A 24254-nucleotide genomic window follows, 5' to 3' on the forward strand; every position below is an offset into this window, starting at 1 on the left:
TATATATATATATATATATATATATCTCACATCATTTAACCCTCAACCCTGTGATCCAGATACTATTATCTTGAATGAAAGGGACTAGAGATAGGCTGGAGCAACCATTGGGGATAATCCGAATGCAATTCTCCTCGGAGATGCCCGCCCCCCCGCCCCCAGCCCCTTACCCCCCGCACACACACACCAAGGAGCAATCCAGAGCCCTGGTCGTTGTTGACTTAGTTATTTGATCAGTTCTACTTACATTTGGCAGTGTGTAGAAAAAGTGTCCCATCTTCACCATCAGGAGCAGCATCACACCTGCGCCTACCAGAGATGCAAACTGAGGAGACAGAGCCAGTTGGAGAGAAACCATCAGGAACGTATTGGTCCCTGTCTGCAACTGAGGCCTTCTGCTTGGTGAGAAGCATGTCAATTTTTCTTAAAAGGAGTTGAGTTCAGTCCAAGTGTATTTTTGTTGAACTGACATTTTCAAGTCTTATCAAAGTGCTAAACACATACTAGGTACTCAATAAATACTCCCTAAATGAATGGAAAGATGCTCCCTGAAAAGCTCCACGTTGTCCTGGGCATTTGAATCTTTACTGCCACTGCTCTGTGCTATGAATCTGAATTCTCCTAAAATCTGATTTGCATCTCCTCCTAAGTTTAACCTCTCCTTGCACAATTTAGAAAAGCCGTAGTTGGCCGGGTGCGGTGGCTCACACCTGTAATCCTAGCACATTGGGAGGCTGAGGCCGGCAGATCACAAGGTCAAAAGATGGAGACCATCCTGGCCAACATGGTGAAACCCCGTCTCTACTAAAAATACAAAAATTAGCTGGGCTTGGTGGTGTGTGCCTGTAATTCCAGCTACTTGGGAGGCTGAGAGAGGAGAATCGCTTGAACCCGGGAGACGGAGATTGCAGTGAGCCAAGATCACGCCACTGCACTCCAGCCTGGCGACAGAGTGAGACTCCATCTCAAAAAAAAAATAAATATAAGGAAAGAAAAGCCCTAGTAGCTCCTCAGTGTCAGCCCTACTTCCCATGTAAGTAAATTTCCCACCCCTCACTCTCCTGTTTGCTGCTTGGGTAACTGCCCATCTAGCAGCTTCAGTGGAGCTTCATCTTAAAAAACACAAAGATAATCACTTCCCATTTTCCTGCTTTAGTTTCTCTCTGCTCCAGTGCCATCAAAAAGAAAGAAAGAAAGAAAAAGCTACAAACATGAGTCAAGGCTGTATATAGCAGCTCTGGATCCTATCCCAGTTGGGTTGACTACTTTGGGCTCAGTGTCTCTTGGTAAGCAGTGATTCTCACTTGTCAAAATAAAGGTGGAAAACTAAGAAGCATAGTTTCCTTGATAAGCCCAATGGTCTCTGGATAGTCTTGAACTCATTATATCCTCTATTGGTAAATTTCTATTTTGTAAGCCACTAGTAATAAAAATAATAGAAACCAGTGTCATTTTCACTGCGATGGGAATAGGGGATGGGGCAAAATTATAACCACAAATCAGAACAATGGCACAGAAAAGCAAGAACTGAGGGGGTCTCTCGATTCTAATCTACCAAAGGACCATTCAGCAATGATTCTCTAATTTTTCTCTGTATTTTTTACGTAGGGGGGGAAAACACACCTTCCCACTGGGTTCCCTCTCGCTACTCATTGCTATTTGCCTTATAAATGTATTGCCGAAAATAATAGCAATGCAATCAACGTCCTGCTTCTTTCTTTCCCCATCCCAGCTGACTCACAGCTAAAGTGAGTGGCCTGATATGGAAAGGCTGAATCACATGAGAGTAGTGTAGGAAGTACTCAGGAAAATGGATCACCATAACTGAAACTCAGAAAGCTCTGATGGCAAACATTTCAGACACTGTGGAACTGAGACAGGTAACCCCAAAGCCTCTCCAGCCAGGTGACATGTCAGCCTGTTGCTGGATCTAATTTCTGGCTCTAGCTTCAGTTGGCCTTTGCTGATGTTATAGAAAAAACTATTTTCATTAGCACAGGAAATCTATATCAGGCCTTTTCTTTTCTGCCACTTTTTTTCTCCAAAATTCTTCTGATTATTTTTAAGGAAACAAAGGCAGGCAGACACAAAATAAGTTGTATAAAACTAGGTTAGGCCAGGCGTGGTGGCTCGCACCTGTAATCCCAGCACTTTGGGAGGCCGAGCCAGGCAGATCACCTGAGGTCAGGAGTTCGACACCAGCCTGGCCAACATGGTGAAACCCCACCTCTACTAAAAATACAAAAAAATTAGCTGGGCGTAGTGGCAGGCGCCTGTAATCCCAGCTACTTGGGAGGCTGAGGCAGGAGAATCGTTTGCACCTGGGAGGCAGAGGTTGCAGAGCCAAGACCTCGCCAATGCACTCCAGCCAGGGCAACAAGAGCAAAACTCCATCTCAAAACAACAACAACAACAACAACAACAACAAAAATCCTAAGTCAAAATGAGCACAAACTAGACACCAAATCCCATAAAATTAGCTGCTCAGAGAGGGTTGGAGGCCTGCCAATAATTGTGTTCCCCTTGGCTGCACATTCATAGGAATGGGTTTTGGGATCAGAGGACCATCTTCTGTGGCATTGCGCCTCAGGAAGATGCTCGATGGCTCTCAGAGCTCAGCCTCAGTGCCTGAACAGGGTCTGATGACAGCAAGCACTGTCTGCATGTTTTACATCTCATGCATGCTTTGTTTTTCTGACCAGATTTTCCATCACTTTTCCAGGCTTTCTTGAGCAAAGACTGACTGTGCCTTCTCTCCAGAGAGTCAAAGCCATGTGAGTTTCCATAGCCACAGCCACAATCAACATGCAGACCCTCAGGCATCAATTGCTCCATGTACAGGGGGCTCCATGAAGTAGAATAGCAGATGATGAACACCTGCCCAGGCACTTGGGTCTTGGGGTAGAAGTGATGATTTTTGAACTCTTAAGTGACAGGCACCCATTAGCATCTAATTTAATTCTCACAATGGGCAAATTTGTCTTATCCCCACTTTCCAGATGAAGACTAGAACCTCAGAGAGCAAAATTAATTTGCCCAAGGTCACATACATCTAGGAAGCATGGAGTCAGGTTCAACCTCCCCTGACCATCTGACTCCAAAATCCAGGCTCTCTCCACGGCCCCATTGACTTCCTCTAAAAAGAATGCAATGCATTCATTTCTCTCTTTTACAATAACCCATTTTTAAAGCTGTTCGGGGAGCCTGGGCAAGGCAGGTCCTTAGAAAGCAGGGGGCAATGACAGAAACCTAATCTTGGAGAACACGGAAGCACAGTGGTACGAATAGGATGACCAGAAAGATGGAGTGGGGGACAGCCCAGCTGGCCACAGGCCTACTAGGGCTCATCACATCCCCTTTGCCATGGGTCAGGCCTGCCAATGCCTCAGGCTGAGGCTGTGGCCAGAAGGACCAGTAGGTTTTGCTGCAGCCACTGGAGGGAAATGAGTTCTAGACAGCAAGAAATTAAGTGAAATCTAAACACATATACACAGTTTGCATCTATGCCAGATAAAAAATAAAAACAAAGTGACCCTTGATGGCAGATTATTTTTGAGAGGTTCAGAGCCAGCCCCATATTTCTCTTTTCTGCAGTCCTAAGAAACTTTGAAGAAATAGGGACATTCTCAGGCAGAGTGAATCAAGAGCCCCCAGCGGGTTGGCGCACGGTGGCTCATGCCTGGAATCCTAGCACTCTGGGGGGCTGAAGTGAGAAGATCACTTGAGGCCTGGAGTTTGGACAACATAGTGAGACCCTGTCTCTGAAAAAAAAAAAAAAATCATAAGGCCTCCAGAGATAAGAGGTGGAGAGAAAACTCCACTCCCATGGAATGAAGAAGATGAATGAGTCTCATAGGTCTTTTCTGGTCCAGATTAGGAACTCAAGAGTATAGTCTGGGCAGCTGCCATGTGTAGGGCCAGGGGTCAGCAACATTCTCTGCTTGAGCCAGGGATTTGCAAGGGGCATGTCAAGGCCTCAGGGAGGGCTTCTCAGCATTCCTAGGGACATGCCTCCCTGTGGAGGGCCGCTGCACTGCATTGAGAGGTGTCACTGGCAGAACTGTGCTGCACAGATGAACAAGGTGGCAGCGGAAAACAAAATGAGTGCCATAGGCTACCTTTGAGGCAGACCTTCTGTTCAACAGGCTAAAATGCTAAAAATGGGCTTGCTCAGGGGTTGGAAATTCAATCGTCTGCCAAAACCCTCTCAAAACTTGGCCTTTCTATTCCCAGAATCAATGAGTGCATTTGGCACAGCCAGTCTTCCTCCAGTCTGCATTGCACGCACAAGTGGAATCCTGCTGTTAAGACAGCTCTGAGGCTGAACTGAAGCCCTTCTTCCTCCTTCCATCTACACATACCCTAAACCCTTTCAGTACTCCATGAAAGTCCCACTTCTGCCATCATTCTCCTTCTTGCAATATTTATGCCGCTTTTTAAAAATCGTCCTCATTCTGCACTCAATTTTCCTTGCACTGTGATTTAGTTTTTTTCTAGCCGTGCACATCTTGTCTCCCAAATTTACATTATGCTTATATACTGAATAAACAAAGTATGTCATAAAAAGTTAGTGGAACTAATCTCTGGAATCTCCATTTCCATTTCTTCTTCTAAAACTCTCCAAGTCTCTTTGGAGTCTCTTTGACTCCAAAGTTTTTGCATGCTTGTACAAAACACTCTTCTTCTGAACATAGCCCAAATTTCTCTGTCTATTAAGCAGTAGTGGAAAAGGCCAATGTGTCCGGAAGAAGCTCTGTGACAAACAAAACTTGGTCCACATAAAATGGTACAATGTAGTCTTATTCTAGACCAAACTTGTCCAACCTGAGGCCTGCGGGGCCACATGTGGCCCAGGACAGCTTTGGATGCAGCCCAACAAAAATTCGTAAACTTTCTTAAAACATTATAAAATATTTTAGCGATTTTTTTTTTTTTAGCTCATCAGCTATTGTTAGAATTAGTGCATTTTATGTGTGGCCCAAGACAATTCTCCTTCTTCCAGTGGGGCCAGGGAAGCCAAAAGATTGGACACCCCTGCTCTATACCCAGGCTCTCACCCCTGCCTAATCTTTCTGACTTGTATTACCTTTTACCTTATGCTTCACCACATATTTGCCCATGGACTATGACACTTTGTCTTTCCATGTGAAAGTTGACTGTTCATTCTGCTGACACATTCGTTTCTGACCATGGCTACACCTTTTACTATGTTTCTGCAGCAGAAGCTTGTCTTTGACCTCTGCCACTGTTTCTCTGGCGTCTGAATGCTGACTCATTCCCCGGGCAACCCCAGTTTCAATTCCGATAGCTCTCTGACATTTTGTCACTCTGCATAGTTGAGATGGGACACCTCTCAGGTTAGCCTGTTGTAATTTTATCTAGTCAGTTCAAAACTCATGAACATTGGGCCGGGCCCGGTGGTTCATGCCTGTAATCCCAGCACTTTGGGAGGCCAAGGCAGGCAGATCACTTGAGTTCAGGAGTTCAAGACCAGCCTGGCCAACATAGTAAAACCCCATCTCTGCTAAAAATACAAATGTTAGCTGGATGTCGTGGCGGATGCCTGTAATCCCAGCTACTCGGGAGGCTGAGGCAGGAAAATCACTTGAGCCTGGGAGGCGGAGGTTGCAGTGAGCCGAGATCGCGTCACTGCACTCCAGCCTGGGTGACAGAGCAAGACTGTGTCTCAAAACAAAAACAAAAACAAAAAACAAAACTCATGAACATTAGACTTATAAAATCTCATGCCTGCAATTAGACACTTTGCCTCTACAGTCTTTTCGACCACCATTCTCTCTATGTATGCTTAACACATGCCTAAACATTTAGTTTACTGACTCAGAATACCTGCAGAAAATCTGACCTAGATAATTTTCTCTTATACAAAAGTAGAACAATTATACATTCTCTAGGCTCTCCTAGACAAAGACCTGACACCCTGTCATGAAAGCCCCTTGCCATGCCCTTTTGAAGAAGCCAGGAAAATTTTTGCTTTGCTGCCAAGGTGTGTAGAGTTGTATTATTGCTTTTCCAGACTAGGTGTGAGAATGCATCTTCCCACAGGGGGAAAGCATTAGCAGATGATGGTAAGTTTACCAGAAATATTCTTTTTTGTTTGTTTGTTTGAGACGGAATCTCATTCTGCCACCCAGGCTGGAGTGCAGTGGCACCATCTCAACTCATTGCAACCTCTGTCTCCTAGGTTCAAGTGATTCTCCTGCGTCAGCCTCCTGGGTAGCTGGAATTACATGTGTGCGCCACAACACCCAGCTAATTGTTTTTTTTTTTTTCTTTTTTTTTGTATTTCTAGTAGAGATGGGGTTTTACCATGTTAGCCAGGCTGGTCTCAAACTCCTGACCTCAAGTGATCCACCCACTTCGGCCTTCTAAAGTGTTGGTATTACAGGCGTGAGCCACCACACTTGGCCAGTTTACCTAAAATATTCTTATCCTTTAGGTATGTTACATGGAAAGTGGGGTTTTGTGGGCTAATATACGGAAACCTCTCACATATTTCTGTAGAAAATGGCTTTCAAGTTCCACATTGACAAGTAACTTTTAAGACAAAATCTGAGCAAAAATTAAGGCAAGCATGGAATCCAAATTCATCCCAGAGGTCTTTCCCATTAAGCATAGCATTAAAACAGCAAGAAGATTAAACCCATTTAATTCCCTACTCTGAATATACATATGAATTGATATGAATATGTTTATGTATTAGAGATCAAATTGTATTTCAACATACCTGTTGTCTTCCTCCAGATTTATCCTGGATAATAGTCCTAGCAATAGCACCAGTAAACACACAAGATCTGAAAAATGAACTGACGACATTGCAAAGGCCGATGGCTATTAAATCCTGTAAAGAAACAGCAGATGCTTTAGGCCCCCGTTTTTGTTGAAGAATGCTGATTTTGAGTTGAAGGCATATGGTTTTTTTTTTTTATATGAAGATAGGGTTGTTTGCATCACTTGAAATAACAGATTGAAATATTATTAGAAGGCCGGATGAGGTGGCTCACACCTATAAGCTCAACACTTTAGGAGGCTGAGGCTGGTGGATCACCTGAGGTCGGGAGTTTGAGACAAGCCTGACCAACATGGAGAAACCCTGTCTCTACTAAAAATACAAAATTTGCCAGGCATAGTGGCGCATGCCTGTAATCCCAGCTACTCGGGAGTCTGAGGCAGGAGAATCGCTTGAACCTGAGAGACAGACGTTGTGGTGAGCCGAGATTGCACCATTGCACTCCAGCCTGGGCAGCAAGAGCGAAACTCCATCTCAAAAAAAAAAAAAAAAAAAAAATTAGAACAAAAGGATGGCACATCTGATTTTCTTGACTAAACCAAATCATCATTTTAGCTAGTCATCACAAGGAAAGTGCTTTTTCAAGGTGAGAAAATGAGACTCTGGCATTTTTATTCTCTTTCAAGTGATGACCAGGACTTAGGATGACAGGGAGAAGCACAATGCTATTCTCCCTGCCTTATGTGCTACCCTAAAGGTCAAATTGGGCTGGGTGCGGTGGCTCACACCTGTAATCCCAGCACTTTGGGAGGCTGAGGCAGGCAGATTGTGAGGTCAGGAGTTCGAGACCAGTCTGGCCAACGTGGTGAAACCCCATCTCTACTAAAAATACAAAAATTAGCTGGGCATGGTGGTGAGCATCTGTAATCCCAGCTACTCGGGTGGCTGAGGCAGGAGAATCGCTTGAACCTGGGAGGTGGAGGTTGTGGTGACCCAAGATCATGCCATTGCACTCCAGCATGGGTAACAAGAGCAAAACTCCGTCTCAAAAAAAAAAAAAGGTCAAATTGGAACACCTGTTGTTTCCATATTTCCCTCTTGAGTTCTAGGGAAAGGGCTAAAAGACAAAAACTATTTCTGGGAGGCCAACTGTATGGTATTAGAAGCCCTCGCTTTTTTTTTTTTTTTTTTGAGATGGAGTCGCCCAGACTGGAGTGCAGTGGCGCGGTCTCGGCTCGCTGCAAGTTCCGCCTCCCGGGTTCACGCCATTCTCCTGCCTCTGCCTCCCGAGTAGCTGGGAGCACAGGCGCCCGCCACCATGCCCGGCTAATTTTTTTTTTGTATTTTTGGTAGAGACAGGGTTTCACCGTGTTAGCCAGGATGGTCTTGATCTCCTGACCTCGTGATCCACCTGCCTTGGCCTCCCAAAGTGCTGGGATTACAGACGTGAGCCACTACTCCTGGCCCAACCCTGGCTTTTTATAAGACGTTCTGCAGCATTTCTTATTGCACCTCAGTATGTGGTTGGAGGACTTGGTAGAAAGAAAGCTAAAATTAAGAAAAGTGAAACTCTCCTAGCTTAACAACATGATGCCATAATTTTCTGGCCTCTCTGTATCATATCTGTTCTAGGGCAATAACACTCAGGTTAATTCAAGTGCCCTCAAAGTTAAGTATCCCTCACCTCTCAAAAATCCTTTGTGATTACTGTCCAAACCATGGTCCAAGTGGCTCTTCAGTTAAAAAAGACTCCTGCTTCATGTTGGCAGGAGGCTTTGATTAAAGAACAAAGAGTTAAGGATCAGAGGAAGTAGTAGTCCTCTCACCTGGTTGGAATTGACACTGTAATTGTGAAGACTGGCAATCTTCTTGCCCAGAAATATGAGCAGAAAGGAGCTCACCAAAGATAAGGAGAAGGCTTGTAAAATTATCTTGGGAAGAAGGCTGAAATCTGGTGTTACAGGAAGCAGAAAGCTGGAATAGAATAGTGGAATTATTTCTGGATAGCAGGAATCCTTTCTTGGTACCTCCGCCACTCTATTCTAACACTGGGCTGTCCTGATTCTTTTTTTTTTTTTTTTAATAACAATAGGGACAAGCGGAGTGATTGAGGCAGCAGCCTGCCAAAACTGCCAGCAAACCAAGCCAAGTTATGAAAGCCATTGAGAGAACATGTTGTTGTGTTTTGCAGTTCAATGTTTCTGCCAGGTAGCAATGGCAGTAAACAGAACAGGCCAAACATTAACGATTCACGAAAAATGGTTTCTTGATACTGTTTGAGGCCATACCAATAGGTGAACAATAGGTGGATATTTAAGGAAGAAATAATGCCTATTTTATAGAAACTCTTCCAGAAGTTGAAGATGAGGCAATACTTTCCAAATCTTTCTATAATGTCAACATACGGCTGGGTGCGGTGGCATATGGCTGGGTGCGGTGGCTCACGCCTGCAATCCCAGCACTTTGGGAGGCCGAGGTGGGTGGACCACTTGAGGTCAGGAGTTCGAGATCAGCCTGGCCAACATGGTGAAACCTTATCTCTACTAAAAATATAAAAAATTAGCCGGGTGTGGTGGCGTGCATCTGTAATCCCAGCTACTCTGGAGGCTGAGGCATGGGAATCTCTTGAACCCAGGAGGCAGAGGTTGCAGTGAGCAGAGATTGTGCCACTGCACTCTAGCCTGGGTGATAGAGTGAGACTCAGTCTCAAAAAAAAAAAAAAATTCAATATACTCTGACACCAAAACCAGACATAGACAGCACAAGAAGAAAAAAAAAAAAAAAAAGACACTCAGACCAACATCCTTCATAAACACAAATGCAAAAATTCTTATCATTTTAGAAAGTCAATATATAAAAGGATAATACACTATGGTCAAGTGGGGTTTATCCCAGAATGAAGCATTAGTTTAACAGTCAGAAATCAAGCACAATATCAACAGACTATAGAAGGAAAAAAAAATCTTGATGATTTGGGGAGAGTGGTGTTTTTCTATAGATCCATACTGGCATAATTCTTTAAGTCAAATCTGGAAGCACAAATATGCTTCCTTTTTTATTTCTCTAGATTACTTTCTAAGTCAGAAAAAAAAATCTAAGTGTTTTAGATAAGGTTTGCTATTTGAAACGCTTATTCATTCTTTTGATTATCTTTAATCATTTCATCAAAGACAAATATGTATGCCTCAACAGTTGATTTCCTTCTGATAAATTATATAAAAATCCAAATTCAATAAAATGAATCATGTAAATACCCTTGGGAAAATTATCTTAAAAGAAATTTTGTGATATATATTTCCACAAAGCAAATAATACCTTATCTAATTAAAATTTCTTATTAGTTCTTGCATTTAAAATTTTATTTTTGAGTAGAAAGAATTCACTTTTAGCACCTCAAAGAGCTAAATATCATTTTCTTCACCATCCAACTATGTCTTCTTCTTCTTCTTTCCTTCTTCTTCTTCTTCTTTTTTTTTTTTTATATTGAGACCAGGTCTTGCTGTGTCACCCAGGCTGGAGTGCAGTGGCGTGATCATGGCTCACTGCAGCCTCATCCTTCCTCAATAAATCCTCCCACCTCAGCCTCCCAAGTAGCTAGGATTTCAGATACATGCAACCACACCTGGCTAATTTTTTTTTTTTTTTTTTTTTTTTTTTAGAAACGGAGTCTCACCATGTTGCCCAGGTTGGTCTTGAAATCCTGAGCTCAAGCGATTCGCCTGCCTCAGCCTCCCACAGTGCTGGGATTACAGGCATGAGCCACTGTGTCTGGCCCTACTATGTATATTTTAATTTCTTATTTATAATTTATAACTTAAGGCCGGGCACGGTGGCTCACGCTTGTAATCCCAGCACTTTGGGAGGCCGAGGTGGGCAGATCACAAGGTCAGGAGATCGAGACCATCCTGGCTAACACGGTGAAACCCCATCGCTACTAAAAATACAAAAATTAGCCGGGCGTGGTGGCAGGTGCTTGTAGTCCCAGCTACTTGGGAGGCTGAGGCAGGAGAATGGCATGAACCCGGGAGGCGGAGGTTGCAGTGAGCCAAGATCGTGCCACTGCACTCCAGCCTGGGCGACAGAGCTAGACTCTGTCTCAAAAAAAATAATAAAATAATTTATAACTGACAAGCTCCTTTGCGTTTTCCAGGTAATGAGCTAAGTAGAAGCATAACTGAATGCTTACAGGTAGGTATTTAACTTATTATCAAATTCCACCTTTTTGTCTTTGTAAGAAGCTAGGTAAGAATGAGGCTGTCCCAAAGAGGTACACAGTAAATGTAATTTACTACCCCAATCTATATTAGTAAAGCTTGAATATTTAGTATGATAACAACATAAACTACTGTTTTTCCTTTCTGTTCTCTGTAACAGCCGATTCTTGTTAGCAAATGAGGTTAAAAGGGGACATGGACACAGCAGGAGCTAACTTAAATTGTCCAATCTTACTATTCTCTAGCAGCCCTGGATAAATACATAATAAAAGAGAAAGCTCAAAGCAACGCTTAAAATTAGACTTCTGAAATGCTCATTTGTCCATCTGTAACTTTGAATCTTATAAGAGATAAGCAAAACTTGGTTGTGTGGGTTTTTTCTTTTTTCTTTTTTACTTTTTGAGATAGTCTCCCTCTATTGCCCAGGCTGGAGTGCAGTGGCATGATCCTAGCTTATTGCAACCTCCAACTCCCGGGTTCAAGTGATTCTCTTGCCTTAGCCTCCCAAGTAGCTGGGATTGCAGGCACACACCACTATGCCCAGCTAGTTTTTGTATTTTTAGTAGAGATGGGGTTTCACCATGTTGGCCAGGCTGGTCTCAAACTCCTGGCCTCAAGTGATCCACCTGCCTCAGCTTCCCAAACTGCTGGGATTACAGGCATGAGGCACTGTGCCCAGCCTGGCTGTGTGGTTTTGAAGTCATTGATAACAGAAGCATATTGTGTAAGTATAACAGAGTGGTTATAATTATAGACTTTGGAATTAAGGAGAAATATGTTCAAATGGTAGCTCTGCCATGGAGGAGCAATGTGCTAAGTAATTTAAACATGGGAAGCCTTAGTTTCCTTAGCGTAAAAAAGAAGACAATATCTACCTCAAAGCATTACTGTGGGGAGCAAATGAAATAATACAAATATGTAAAGTGTCAATCCCACTGTTGTTCTTGTTATTATTTTTTTTCCTGAGGACAGAGATCGTGTCTTGCTTATCTTTGTACTCTCTAGTACCTAGGTGGTGTCTGCCCACATTTTTTAATTGACTGGAATTTCAAGTTGATTCAGCCATCGTCAGATTTCATTGAGAACTGGGTAGGTTATGAGACTAGTTCAAACTGATTGTGTCAAAATAGCCTACATTTGCCCGGGTGTGGTGACTCACGCCTGTAATCCCAGCACTTTGGGAGGTGGAGGTGGGAGGATCACCTGAGTCCAGGAGTTCGAGATCAGCCTGGCCAACATGGTGAAACCCTGTCTCTACAAAAAATACAAAAATTAGCCAGGCGTGGTGGCAGGCACCTGTAATTCCAGCTACTCAGGAGGCTGAGCAGGAGAATCACTTGAACCCGGGAGGTGGAGGTTGCAGTGAGCTGAGATGGCGCATTGCACTCCAGCCTGGGCGACAGAGCAAGACTTGTCTCAAAAAGAAAAAAAAAAGCCTACATTTTGTGATCCTGGAGTTTAGCAAGTATGCTTCACTCTTTACAGGATTCCTTATTATACAACGTGAGGAAATGGGCAATGCTCTTCAAAAGCCTCTCTGTGAGTCAAGAAACTGCAGTATATTGCCTTTCTTAGCTAATGTGATTCATCTGATTAAGGTTAAAAAAAATAATTTCCTAACAGAAGCAAGAGCCATGCCTCATAGTCACTGGTAGGAATTATAATGTAAATTGATTGTGAGTCCTTAAGAACTCCATATGCCAGGCTATTTGAAGATCACTTTCTACCCAGAGTAAGAAAACAATGTTGCTCAAGGGCACCAATTCTGACCGGGCACTGTGGCTCATGCCTGTAATCCCAGCACTATAGGAGGCCAAGGCAGGAGGAATGTTTGAGTCTGGGATTTTGAGACTAGCCTGAGCAACACAGCAAAATGCTGTCTCTACTAAAAATGCAAAAAATTAGCCAGGCGTGGCAGTGCACGGCGGTGTACACCTGTAGTCCCAACTACTCAGAGAGCTGAGGAGGGAGGATCACTTGAGCCTGAGAATTCAAGGCTGCAGTGAGCCATGATTGCGCCACTGCACTCCAGCCTAGGCAACAGAGTGAGAACCTGTCTCAAAAATAAATAAATAAATATATAAATAAATAAAACAGGGCATCTATTTAGTCTAAGTTTGTGAAGGCAAAAGGAACGTTCATCTTCTGAACACAGAGCCACAGGAGAGAGGCTAGAAAAACCGAGGCATCTCTTGTCCACCCCTTGAGAATTAATCAGAGAGGTATAGTAGTTGAGAAGGCCTATCATGTGCTATGAAAAAAAACATGAGATTCTCTGGTATTCAGTGCATATAACAGTTTTCCTGGATAAGGGGATGGGTTCAACTATGAGAAGAGAGACAGAGGCTGACCAGAGAAGACACAAGGAGTTGTCCCTAGCCCTTCTCCTTTCATGAACCTCTGTGTTCAAAAATGAATTTTGCTTTGGCCAGAGACTGCTAGTAGAAAATATCAATCAGGCTGTGTGGTCAGAGGCTAAGAGAGGGTATCAGAAAGAGAAAAGCAATCTTGAAAAGTGGAATTACTGACCTATAAGGAATCATGTCAATAAGCGTCTGGCTGGTTTCTGTGGCCATGCTTATCTTGTTTGCAATCACAGTGAAGCCAATAATCTGTAGGGGGTAAAAAAAGAAGGGATGGGGGCATATGAATACCTAAATATAGTGCATCGCTTCTAGAAGCAGAGTTGCCCATTGCCTCTGGCAGGACAGAAAATGAAACAGGCAGCAGTCCCTATGCATGCAAGTTGGAGAGAGAGGCATGGCTAGTTCAGCGGAGCAAGGCAGGCATTAGAGATCTTCCCTGTTTCTTTTGGTTCTCTAAGCCAGAGTGCAAAACAACTTGGTCTGTGAACATGATGGGAACAAATGGACGCCATGAACTTCTGTATCCCCATCATCTTCATTTATTTTTTCTTGTTTTAATATTTAATATATTTGAATCTCAATGGCTTTCAGTGAGATCGATCCATTTAAATACTGAATGACTTGGAAAATACCTCTTTGCTCCTCTTTAAATAAAGGGTATTTCAGAGTTTATCAGGAAGTGGGGAATCTCCCCACCAACTTTAAACATCTAGATTAATATAAACATGTTTTCAGATAATGGCTGTATCAAGTTTTCAGTTTCAAAAGTTTTTAGTTCCAGGTACATTGTAGTAATACAGATATGCCTTTTAGGGGCTTGTTGAGGTATACCAAAAGAGAAACATGATTAACCCTTAATAATATGGAGCAACATTTAATTGCACAAAGAAAAAGTTCTGTAGCAAAGCAACTACCTGCTTTTCCCCCCTTTCACTTACTTCTAAAAATGGCAATTCTCCCTCTAGTCCCTGACTTTTAATTAGAGGGAAAAGAGACAACCTAGCAGCTGTTATAGCTTATAAAGACTGCGTCAATGCAGATTAAACCAGAGACAAGAGACCTCAATTCCTATGTTTTAAAATAGCAATTATACAGTTGCTTTATCCCATTCTTCCTACTAACACATACTTCTTTCCCCAGCATCTACTGCAGGAGTTCAACCAGACGCTGAACAGAACAGCAGTTGACTAACCTGTGATACTGTTATCAGATGAAGACCCCTAGGAAGTCTACAGATTAGAATGGAAGGAAGAATCTGGATTACAGCTTGGATCAGAGAAGAAGAGTCTTGGTTTTTATATAATTAAGAGGCAAGAAGTATGGCAAGCATGGCAAGGAACTCTTATTTCCAGTTTAAAGGTAATACTTGTTCACAGAGAAAAATGAAAATATGAAACATTGAAAAACAGAAATAACTCATCCAAAGACAACTATTGTTACATTTTTTGTTTGCTATACAGCTTAAATATACATAAATTATGAACATATGTATAATTTCTTATAGCCAAGGGACCCTTGAATTATCAGTATAGTCTACCTGGATCTCAGTTGTTGCCTTGAAAATTTTCCTAAATATTGAGTCTGCTCTTTTGCTCTCTTTTTTTTTTTTTTGAAATGAAGTTTTGCTCTTGTTGCCCAGGCTGGAGTGCAGTGGCACAATCTCAGCTCACTGCAACCTCTGCCTCCTGGGTTCAAGCGATTCTCATGCCTCAGCTTCCTAAGTAGCTGGGATTACAGGCGTGTGCCACCACATCTGGCTAATTTTTTGTATTTTTTTAGTAGAGATGGGGTTTTGCCAAGTTGGCCCGGCTGTTCTTGAATTCCTGACCTCAGGTGATCCTCCTACCTCGGCCTCCCAAAGTGCTGGGATTACAGGCGTGAGCCACTGTGCCTGGCCGAGTCTGCTCTCTTAAGTACAGATTGATAGATGTGTGCAGTTTCCTCCAGCACATCTAAACATTAGTAATTTCTTTGTGGGTGCTGTAAAAGGCATTTTAGACCCTAGACCGTGGGCGCCTCCATCCTCCCTCTCTCATTTTCCTCACTGCTAAGGGAAACAGGGAGGTCTTTTTCTAGTTCTACCCTGCATCTCTAATCCCTGCTATGTGGCAGAAACTGTGTCCCCATCACTTGACATGACATGTGTATAGGTAGTGTGTTGCAGGCTTCAATAGCCTGTGAGCACAAATTATGTCACAAAAAAGGTTAATGCCTAAATTGCAATTATTGTAAGCCTTCACCTATTTTATTGCTGGACCTCTGTTTCCTCCCCTACCTCACCTCACCTCATGAAGCATTGTAATTATTTATAGCATTCTCCAAAGGAATATATTCTTCTTTTCTTTCTTTCTTCTTCTTCTTATTTTTTTTTTTTTTTTTTTTGAGACAGAGTCTTTGCTCTGCTAACCAGGCTGGAGTGCAGTGGCACAATCTTGGCTCACTGCAACCTCTACCTCCTGGGTTCAAGCAATTCTCCTGCCTCCACCTCCTGAGTAGCTAGGACTACAGGCGTGCACCACTATGCCCAGCTAATTTTTTTTATTTTTAGTAGAGATGGGGTTTCATCATGTTGGCTAGGCTGGTCTCAAACTCCTGACCTCGAGCAATCCACCTGCCTCTGCCTCCCAAAGTGCTGGGATTACAAGGGTGAGACACCGAGCTTGGCCCCCAGAGGAATATCTTGACTGTGGCTCACAAACCAATCTGTCAGCCATGGTCAAACCACAGCATTCTTTGCACTCTCACTTCTCTCCTTTCCTTATAACTCTGGTTCATGTTGATTGCTTTCAAGGCTGTGTAAACCAAAAACAATATTCTAAGGCCCCCAGTCATCTGAATGGATCCCATCTCTTGGCCAAGGGAATTCCGAAGTTAACCTGAAAAAACTAGTTCAGGCCATGATTGAAGCAGGGGTCAGACATACGTCATTATATCCCTCCACCCTTTTGGAATTCAGGAAAAGCCAACCAGCATTAACCTCAAAACAGACCCTTAAGTCTGACAAGAAACATTTACAACCCATTCTCTTTGAAGCCTGCTACTTGGAGGCTTCATTTGCATGACACAGCTTAGGTCTCCACAACCCCTTACCGTAACCCAGACATTCGTCTCTATTGATAATAACTCTTTCAATCAATTACCAATCAGAAAAATTTTAAATCTGCCTATGATATGGAAGCCCCCACCCCTTCAATTTGTCCCACCCTTCCAGATCAAGCCAGTGTAAATCTTACAGGTATTGATTGATATATTGTGTCTCCCTAATGTATAAAAGCAAGCTGTACCCTGAACATGTTGGTAGGACCTCCCTCCAGAGGCTATGTCATGGGGGCTTCCTTAACCTTGGCAAAATAAACTTTCTAAATTGATTGAGACCTGTGTCAGATACATCTGGGTTTACAGACTGCTTGAAGGAACATCACTATGATCCTTGGTGCTGATGTCTCTTAAGAGAGGGCTGGGCATGGTGGCTCATGCCTGTAATCCCAGCACTTTGGGAGGCCAAGGTGGGCAGATCACGAAGTCAGGAGATCGAGACCATCCTGGCCAACATGGTGAAACCCCATCTCTACTAAAAATAAAAAAATTAGCCAGGCATGGTGGTGTGTACCTGTAATCCCAGCTACTCGGGAGGCTGAGGCAGGAGAATCGTTTGAACCTGGGAGGCAGAGGCTGCAGTGAGCTGAGATTGCGCCACTGCACTCCAGCCTAGGAGACAGAGCAAGACTCCGTCTCAAAAAAAAAAAAAAAAAAAAAAAAAAAAAGAGGGCTGCTGTCTGTTCATGGCTGCTGTCTGCTGGTGACTACAAAGCTGCAGCCTCCTAAGGTGCCAGAGATGGGCTGGGAAAGGAGAGGCTGTCTCTGACTGCACCCTACAAACTCCATATACACATTGTTTCCCGAGCTCTAGAGCACCATTTGTATCCAGGGTTTTGTTTTTAAGAATTAACAAATAAAAATCATATATATTTGTCATATACAACATGTTGTTTTAAAATATATATATATACACATTGTGGCATGGCTGAATCGAGCTATTAATAGATGCATTACTTCACATATACATCTTTTTTTTTTTTTTTTTTTTTTTTTTTGAGACGGAGTTTTGCTCTTGTTGCCCAGGCTGGAGTGCAATGGCACAATCCCGGCTCACTGCAACCTTCACCTCCTGGGTTCAAGCAATTCTCCTGCCTCAGTCTCCCATGTAGCTGGGATTACAGGCATGTGCCATGATGCCCAGCTAATTTTGTGTTTTTAGTAGAAACAGAGTTTCTCCCTGTTGGCCAGGCTGGTATCGAACTCCTGACCTCAGGTGATCCACGCGCCTCGGCCTCCCAAAGTGCTGAAATTACAGGTGTGAGCTACCATGCCTACATATCTTTTTTGGTGTGGTGAAAACACTTAAAATCTAATCTCTTGGCAATTTTCAAGAATATGATACATTGTTACTAACTGTAGTTACTATATTGTACAAAAGATCTCTTGAAATTATTCCTCTTATCAAATTGAAATTTTGTATCCTTTGGCCAACATCTCCCCAAACCACTCTCCCGCAACTCTAGACCCTGGTAACCACCATTCTACTCTTCACTTCAATGAGTTCAACCTTTTTAGATTCCACATATCAATGAGATCATGCAGTACTTTTCTTTCTGTGCCTGGCTTATTTCACTTAACATGTCCTCTGGGTTCATCCATGTTGTCCCAAATGACAAGATTTCCTTCTTTTTATTTTTTATTTTATTTTAATTTTTTTAAACAAAATACCCAGGCTTTAAGGAGAAGGATTTCCTTTTTTTTTAAGGCTGAATAGTATTCCATTGTATATGTATACCACATTTTTTTAAAAATCATTTTTTGTTACATGTCTGTCAACTAATACCTGTATATACCACATGTATCCATTTATCTGTTGATGAACACTTGGGTTGATTCCGTATCTTAGGTCTTTTAAATAGTGCTGCAGCGAACATGAGAGTGCAGGTATCTACTCAACATATTGATTTCATTTCCTTTAGATATATACCCAATAGTGGGATTGCTGGATCTGCCTTCAGGGTTTTGTAAAATCTTTTGAAAAACAAGCCTTTCAGCTTCTGGGCTTTATGAATTAATAGCTTTTCAAACATTCAAAGGGAAAAGAATATGCACCTCTACAAGAACTAGGTAACAGTTATAAGAAAGTTTAGTCTAAAGTCCCAAGGCAGTATTTTTCAACCTTGAAGAGGATAGACCTGGATTAGTTAGTATAAGTGGGTTATGCTGTGGCAATGTACAAGCCATGAGATTGTAGCATTTTAACACATCGAAGTTATTTTTTTGCCCACACAAAGTCCATGGTGGGTTGGTATCTCTCAGGCAGCTTCTTTGCAAGCAGTGCCCCAGGGATTTGAGCTAATTTCACCTAGGGATTCCATTTCCTTTTCTTTTTTTTGAGACAGAGTCTTGCTGTCTCCCAGGCTGGAGTGCAGTGGCATGATCTCAGCTCACTGCAAGCTCCGCCTCTCGGGTTCATGCCATTCTCCTGCCTCAGCCTCCCGAGTAGCTGGGACTACAGGTGCACAACACCATGCCCAGCTAATTTTTTTGTCTTTTTAGTAGAAACAGGGTTTCACCATTTAGCCAGGATGGTCTCAATCTCCTGACCTCGTGATCCACCTGTCTCGGCCTCCCAAAGTGCTGGGATTACAGGCGTGAGCCACCGCTCCCAGTCTCCATTTTCTTAACATACTGCCCCTGTCATCATCACAGCAGGGGAGGAAAGAAGAGGGAACTTGCACCTATTCACCTCTACTTTGGCTCAAAAGTCACAGGGTCCTCCTAATTGCAAGAGAGACTGGGAGGTGCAGGGGACACATGATTATTTGGTTAACTTTAAGCATCTTTGCCACAGACCACCACTTAAAAAAGAAATAATTCTCATTGACACCCAAAAATTCAGCAACCTTTCTTTCTTTTTTTTTTTTTTTTTTTACATGGAGTCTTGCTCTGTCGTCCAGGCTGGAGGGCAGTGGCATGATCTTGGCTCACTGCGACCTCCGCCTCCCGGGTTAAGTGATTCTCCTGCCTTAGCCTCTGGAGTAGCTGGGATTACAGGCACACGCCACCATGCCCGGCTAATTTTTGTATTTTTAGTAGAGACAAGGTTTCACCATGTTGGCCAGGCTGGTCTTGAATTCCTGACCTCAGGTGGTCGGCCCACCTCGGCCTCCCAAAGTGCTGAGATTATAGGCGTGAGCCACCGTGCCCGGCCCCGAATTCAGCAATCTTAAAATGAAAAATGCTGACTTAGAAAATCTGAGCTTTATTGATGAAAATATCTTTATCATGGTAAAATGTTAATTATAACTGTAAAAGATAAATTTTATCAGCAGATTTTAGAAAAGAAACAAGAGGCCAGATGCATTGGCTCATGCCTGTAATCCTGGCACGTTGGGACACTGAGGCAGGCAGCTCACTTGAGGTCAGGAGTTTGAGGCCAGCCTGGCCAACATGGCGAAACCCCCATCTCTACTAAAAATATAAAAATCAGCTGGGCATGGTGGTGGGCACCTGTAATCCCAGCTACTCGGGAGGCTGAGGAAGGAGAATCGCTTGAATCTGGGAGGCGGAGGTTGCAGTGGGCCGAGATCATGCCACTGCACTCCAGACTGGGTGACAGAGCGAGATTCTGCCTCAAAGAAAAAAGAAAAGAAAAGAAAAGAAACAAGAAATATTATTATTAGACAGTGAGCCCTAGCTCTGCTACTTACTAATGACACAGATTAGAAAAAACATTTAACATCTCATTTGCCTCAATTTCTTTGTTATATATATTTATTTTTATTAAGGTATAATTTAGATACAATAAAGTGCACAGCTTTTAGATATACAGTTCTATACGGTTTTTTTTTTTTTTTTTGAGACGGAATCTCGCTCTGTTGCCCAGGCTGGAGTACAGTGGTGCAATCTCGGCTCACTGCAAGCTCTGCCTCCCAGGTTCATACCATTCTCCTGCCTCAGCCTCCCGAGTAGCTGGAACTATGGGCGCCTGCCACCTCGCCCGGCTAAGTTTTTGTATTTTTAGTAGAGATGGTGTTTCACCATGTTGGCCAGGATGGTCTCAATCTCCTAACCTCGTGATCCACCCACCTCGGCCTCCCAAAGTGCTGGGATTACAAGCGTGAGCCACCGCACCCGGCCAGTTCTATATGTTTTGAGGAATTTATACGCCAGGTAACTGCCACCCTAACTAACAGCTAATTAACACATGAAACATTTCCATCACCCTGATAAATTAGTTTTCTACCACTTACTATTTAATTTTTCCACATGGGCAGCCACTAATCTTTTTGTCATGACAGATTAGTTTTTCCTGCTCTAGGAATTCATGTAATGGAATTATACAGTATGTAGCCTTTTGTGTCTTTTTTCTTTCATGCTACATAATGTTTTTGAAATCCATCCATGTTGTACACACAATGTGTGTGTGTATCTCCGGGTTTGTTCCTTATTGATGAAAAGTACTCTCTTGTAGGAAATCATTACACACATTACAATATGTTACCTTTTGTGTCTAGTATCTCTCTCTACTTTGTAGAGGTGAACAGTCAAAAGAATTAGAATTGAAACATGGAGAATAAACTCAGGATTCCAAAAATGGGATAGAAGCAGAAGCAGTATGTTCTAGGATCTTGGCAGCAGTCAAAATGAAGTGTTTTGTGGACAACAAAGTCATCTGTAGGGACCTTAACATCGGAGCATAACGTGAGTCGCAACCAGGGTGCCCAGTGATCTGTATAAACTAGGACTACAAGATAGGCATCATTAGGAGATTTGGCTGGTATATCTGTATTTCTTAGGAAGGACTGGTCTTGACTCTATCCTCAGCTAATTGCTGTTGTTGAGATTGTGTTTGCTGAATAAGCTTGCATTTTGCTTTCTTGAGTTTTGTTCTGTTTTTTTTTTGTTTGTTTGTTTGTTTTCTTTTCTTTTTTTTTTTTTTTTTTTTTTTTTTTTGAGACGGAGTCTCGCTCTTTCACCCAAGCTGCAGTGCAGTGGCACTATCTCGGCTCACTGCAAGCTCTGCCTCCTGGATTCATGCCATTCTCCTGCCTCAGTCTCCTGAGTAGCTGGGATTACAGGCACATGCCACCGCACCCGGCTAGTTTTGTATTTTTATTAGAGACAGGGTTTCTCCATGTTGGTCAGGCTGGTCTCGAACTCCCGACCTCGGGTAATCTGCCTGCCTTGGCCTCCTAAAGTGCTGGGATTACAGGCATGAGCCACCGCACCTGGCCTCTGCTCTGTGGTTCTTGAGCCAAACCTGTACTGTTGGATACATGTCCATTTTTGAGGCCATTTCTTTCTGAAGGCTGAGGTTTGGGTATGGGTTCTTATTGAACAAGATGTTCAAATCTTCCAATTGTTTCTCCATGAACATCATATGTTCCCTTTGTGAATGCATCTGGTTCTAGCCATAGGAAAGGGCCGTTCATTTCCTCCTTGGTTCTTTGGCCCTTTGCCTGTTATCATTTAACATGAGATTGCTTGTGCCTCAACTCTTGGATTTTATTTTATTTTAATTTTTTAGGAAGGTCCTCTCAGTTTGACATCTTCTCATCTAGATGTGCTCCTATGTTCAAGTCCAGGGATGAGCTGCCTCAATTTCCTTATTGTAGCATAGTGAGAAGGAATGGAAGTTGAAAACAGTGTGATTTCAACTACATTAAAATAAAAATAAAACATTTATGTAGAAAAAGACGGAAATTCACCAACATTGAGGCTAGGCCTGTCATATGTTTGTCTGAGAGAAGAAAGGAGTGAATAACTGAAAATACTAAAGTATCAATAGTAGTTGACTTTGGATGGTGCAACTATAGGAATTTCTTTTCCTCAACCACTTTTTTAAACTTCCTTATGTTTTTCAAACTTAGAATGAGCCCGTATTTCTTTCATAAGGGGAAAAAAAAACCTTATCCTTGAAATCTTATGAGAACGAGGCAATAGATAAAAGTACTTGGAGAATAAGCATTGTGTGAGGGAGATCTATTGTGCTATTGTGACTATAGTTAATAATGTGTACTTGCAATTGCTAAGAGAGTAGATCTTAAATGTTCTCACAACAAAAATAATAACTGCTGCTAGGGCTGCAAGGCGAAAACAATTAAAAATGATAATTAGGCCAGGCGTGGTGGCTCACGCCTGTAATCCTAGCACTTTGGGAGGCCGAGACAGGTGGATCACCTGAGGTCAGGAGTTTGCGACCGGCCTGGCCAACATGGTGAAACCCTGTCTCTATTAAAAAAAATACAAAAATTAGCTCGCCATTGTGGCACACACCTGTAATTCCAGCTACTCAGGAGGCTGAGGCAAGAGAATTGCTTGAACCTGGGAGGCAGAGGTTGCAGTGAGCCAAGATTGCACCACTGCACTCCATCCTGGGCAGCAGAGCAAGACTCTGTCAAAAAAAAAAAAAAAAAAAACTTGATTTAAACATTTCACTATGTATATCAGAATATCACATCATAAACAATAGATTCAATTTTTAGTTGTCAACTGTAGTATTAAAATATTTTAGAAAAAGAAAACAAGCATGTTTTCACAAATATAAGCATATATTGAAAACTAAATGTATTCAGCTTTTACACAATTCAACTCAGCATTTTTTTAAAATACTAAAATTATGCAAACTATGAATTTGAGACATCAAAAACACCTACCAGAAATAATTCCATGGGAAACTCAATGGGATACTGATTGAAAGAAATTCTGATACATTTGTTGATTCGCAGAGCAACAACAACAGTTAGAAATACTAGAATGCTGGTGGAATTCGCTTTTGGGAGAGCTACACAGTAATTAATTATGTCCTGAAAGAAAATAAAATTACGGAGGCTTAGAAAGGGATGTAGTAATTGCCTAAGTCTAGAAATTGACACTGTAGATTAACCCAAAAAGAAGTCCCCAAGTAGAGTTTCTGGGTACAAAGGTCTTTATGGGTATTACTAGAACAGTGAGGGCAAGCATGGTGGGGGTGGCCAATTTTGTAAAAAGAGGGACAGTAATGCTCAATAAGAATAAGGAGAGAATACACTGTATGTTTTAGTATAATGAACAGGCCCTAGAAGTTCTGTTTATAAGCCAATAGTTATTAGTTTTCCCAAATAATATACTGTAGCTTAGCTCCTACCCTATTCTTACATTTAGGAACTACTTAGTCTTGTATATCCTTTAGATGTTTTAGGATACATGTCTGTTATAAGATAGGTAATGAGAAGAACTGTGATAGATACAATATCTTAAAGGCCAAATTTTAATGTATATCATGATAGTTTAAAAGGCTGAGCTGAAATGGTTAGTCAACTGAAAGCATGGTCTAACTGGCATCTGCAATTAATCAAGACCCTAATTCTCCAATAAAGGAAAATATTTCTAGTACCCTCTTGACTGAGCTGCCTATAGGCTGTGTCTCCTTTCAGAAGGGGCGGGAGTCTCCCTACTGAGCTCCACTTTTCTTTGGAGGCAAGAGGAGTGGCATTTGTAACTCTGGGTAAGAGTTGAAATTACTCACATAGAAGAAGGAGATGGGACCGGCATGGAAACTAATCATAATCCCAAAGATGAAAGTCAGCTGGGACAGCATGATATGAAGTGCCACAGCAGCCAGGTAAGCACTCATTGCAGACTCCGGAAGGTAAGTGGCAATGAAGCCCAAACCCAATACGCCCATTATTAGCTGCAGAGAAGAGAAAACCAGAGTGGGGTAGAATGTCTTCAATCCAGCAATGGCACCAATGGCACTCTCCAGGAAAAGAAGGGTTTCCAATAGAAAAGTTAAGATAGGCCCCTTTGGTAACTCTTGTAACTCTCTTTCCCTAATGAACAGAAGTTGATAACACGGGTCCTTGTATGTTGATCAGAGGCTCCCAACAAGTGCTAGCTCAC

The 24254-nt window shown here is 42.4% G+C and overlaps 1 protein-coding gene, 1 long non-coding RNA gene and 1 pseudogene across 8 annotated transcripts in view; 1 reads left to right on the forward strand and 2 right to left on the reverse strand.

The window, feature by feature from the left end:
- The window catches only part of SLC26A8 (solute carrier family 26 member 8), an 81126-nt gene that overhangs the window by 25114 nt on the left and 31758 nt on the right, over positions 1-24254 (reverse strand). For 4 of the 6 annotated variants that reach the window (XR_926055.4, NM_052961.4, NM_001193476.2 and 1 more), the window contains exons 6-11: positions 23881-24045; positions 23030-23179; positions 13492-13574; positions 8575-8722; positions 6746-6859; positions 248-325 (exon numbers count right to left, since the gene is read on the reverse strand). Coding sequence is in view for 5 of the 6 variants with exons in the window: in NM_052961.4 (NP_443193.1) it covers positions 248-325; positions 6746-6859; positions 8575-8722; positions 13492-13574; positions 23030-23179; positions 23881-24045 (738 nt within the window). In the remaining variant the exon portion in view is untranslated. The remainder of the gene's footprint in view (positions 1-247; positions 326-6745; positions 6860-8574; positions 8723-13491; positions 13575-23029; positions 23180-23880; positions 24046-24254) is intronic. The other 2 variants (XM_011514294.4, NM_138718.3) reach the window with 2 other exon arrangements.
- LOC105375035 (uncharacterized) lies at positions 242-23952 on the forward strand. Of its 2 annotated transcripts, XR_926747.3 has the most exons (7): positions 242-402; positions 1157-1286; positions 2723-2774; positions 10899-10936; positions 11968-12051; positions 14469-14687; positions 23789-23952. It is a non-coding gene; the product is annotated as an uncharacterized LOC105375035 (long non-coding RNA). The 2 variants fall into 2 exon arrangements; XR_926748.3 differs by lacking the exons at positions 10899-10936; positions 11968-12051 and having other exon boundaries at positions 245-402.
- On the reverse strand, positions 20861-21863 carry DPRXP2 (divergent-paired related homeobox pseudogene 2; annotated as a pseudogene).

The sequence above is a fragment of the Homo sapiens genome, chromosome 6 (assembly GCF_000001405.40).
Source record: "Homo sapiens chromosome 6, GRCh38.p14 Primary Assembly".
NCBI classification, from domain to species: domain Eukaryota; kingdom Metazoa; phylum Chordata; class Mammalia; order Primates; family Hominidae; genus Homo; species Homo sapiens.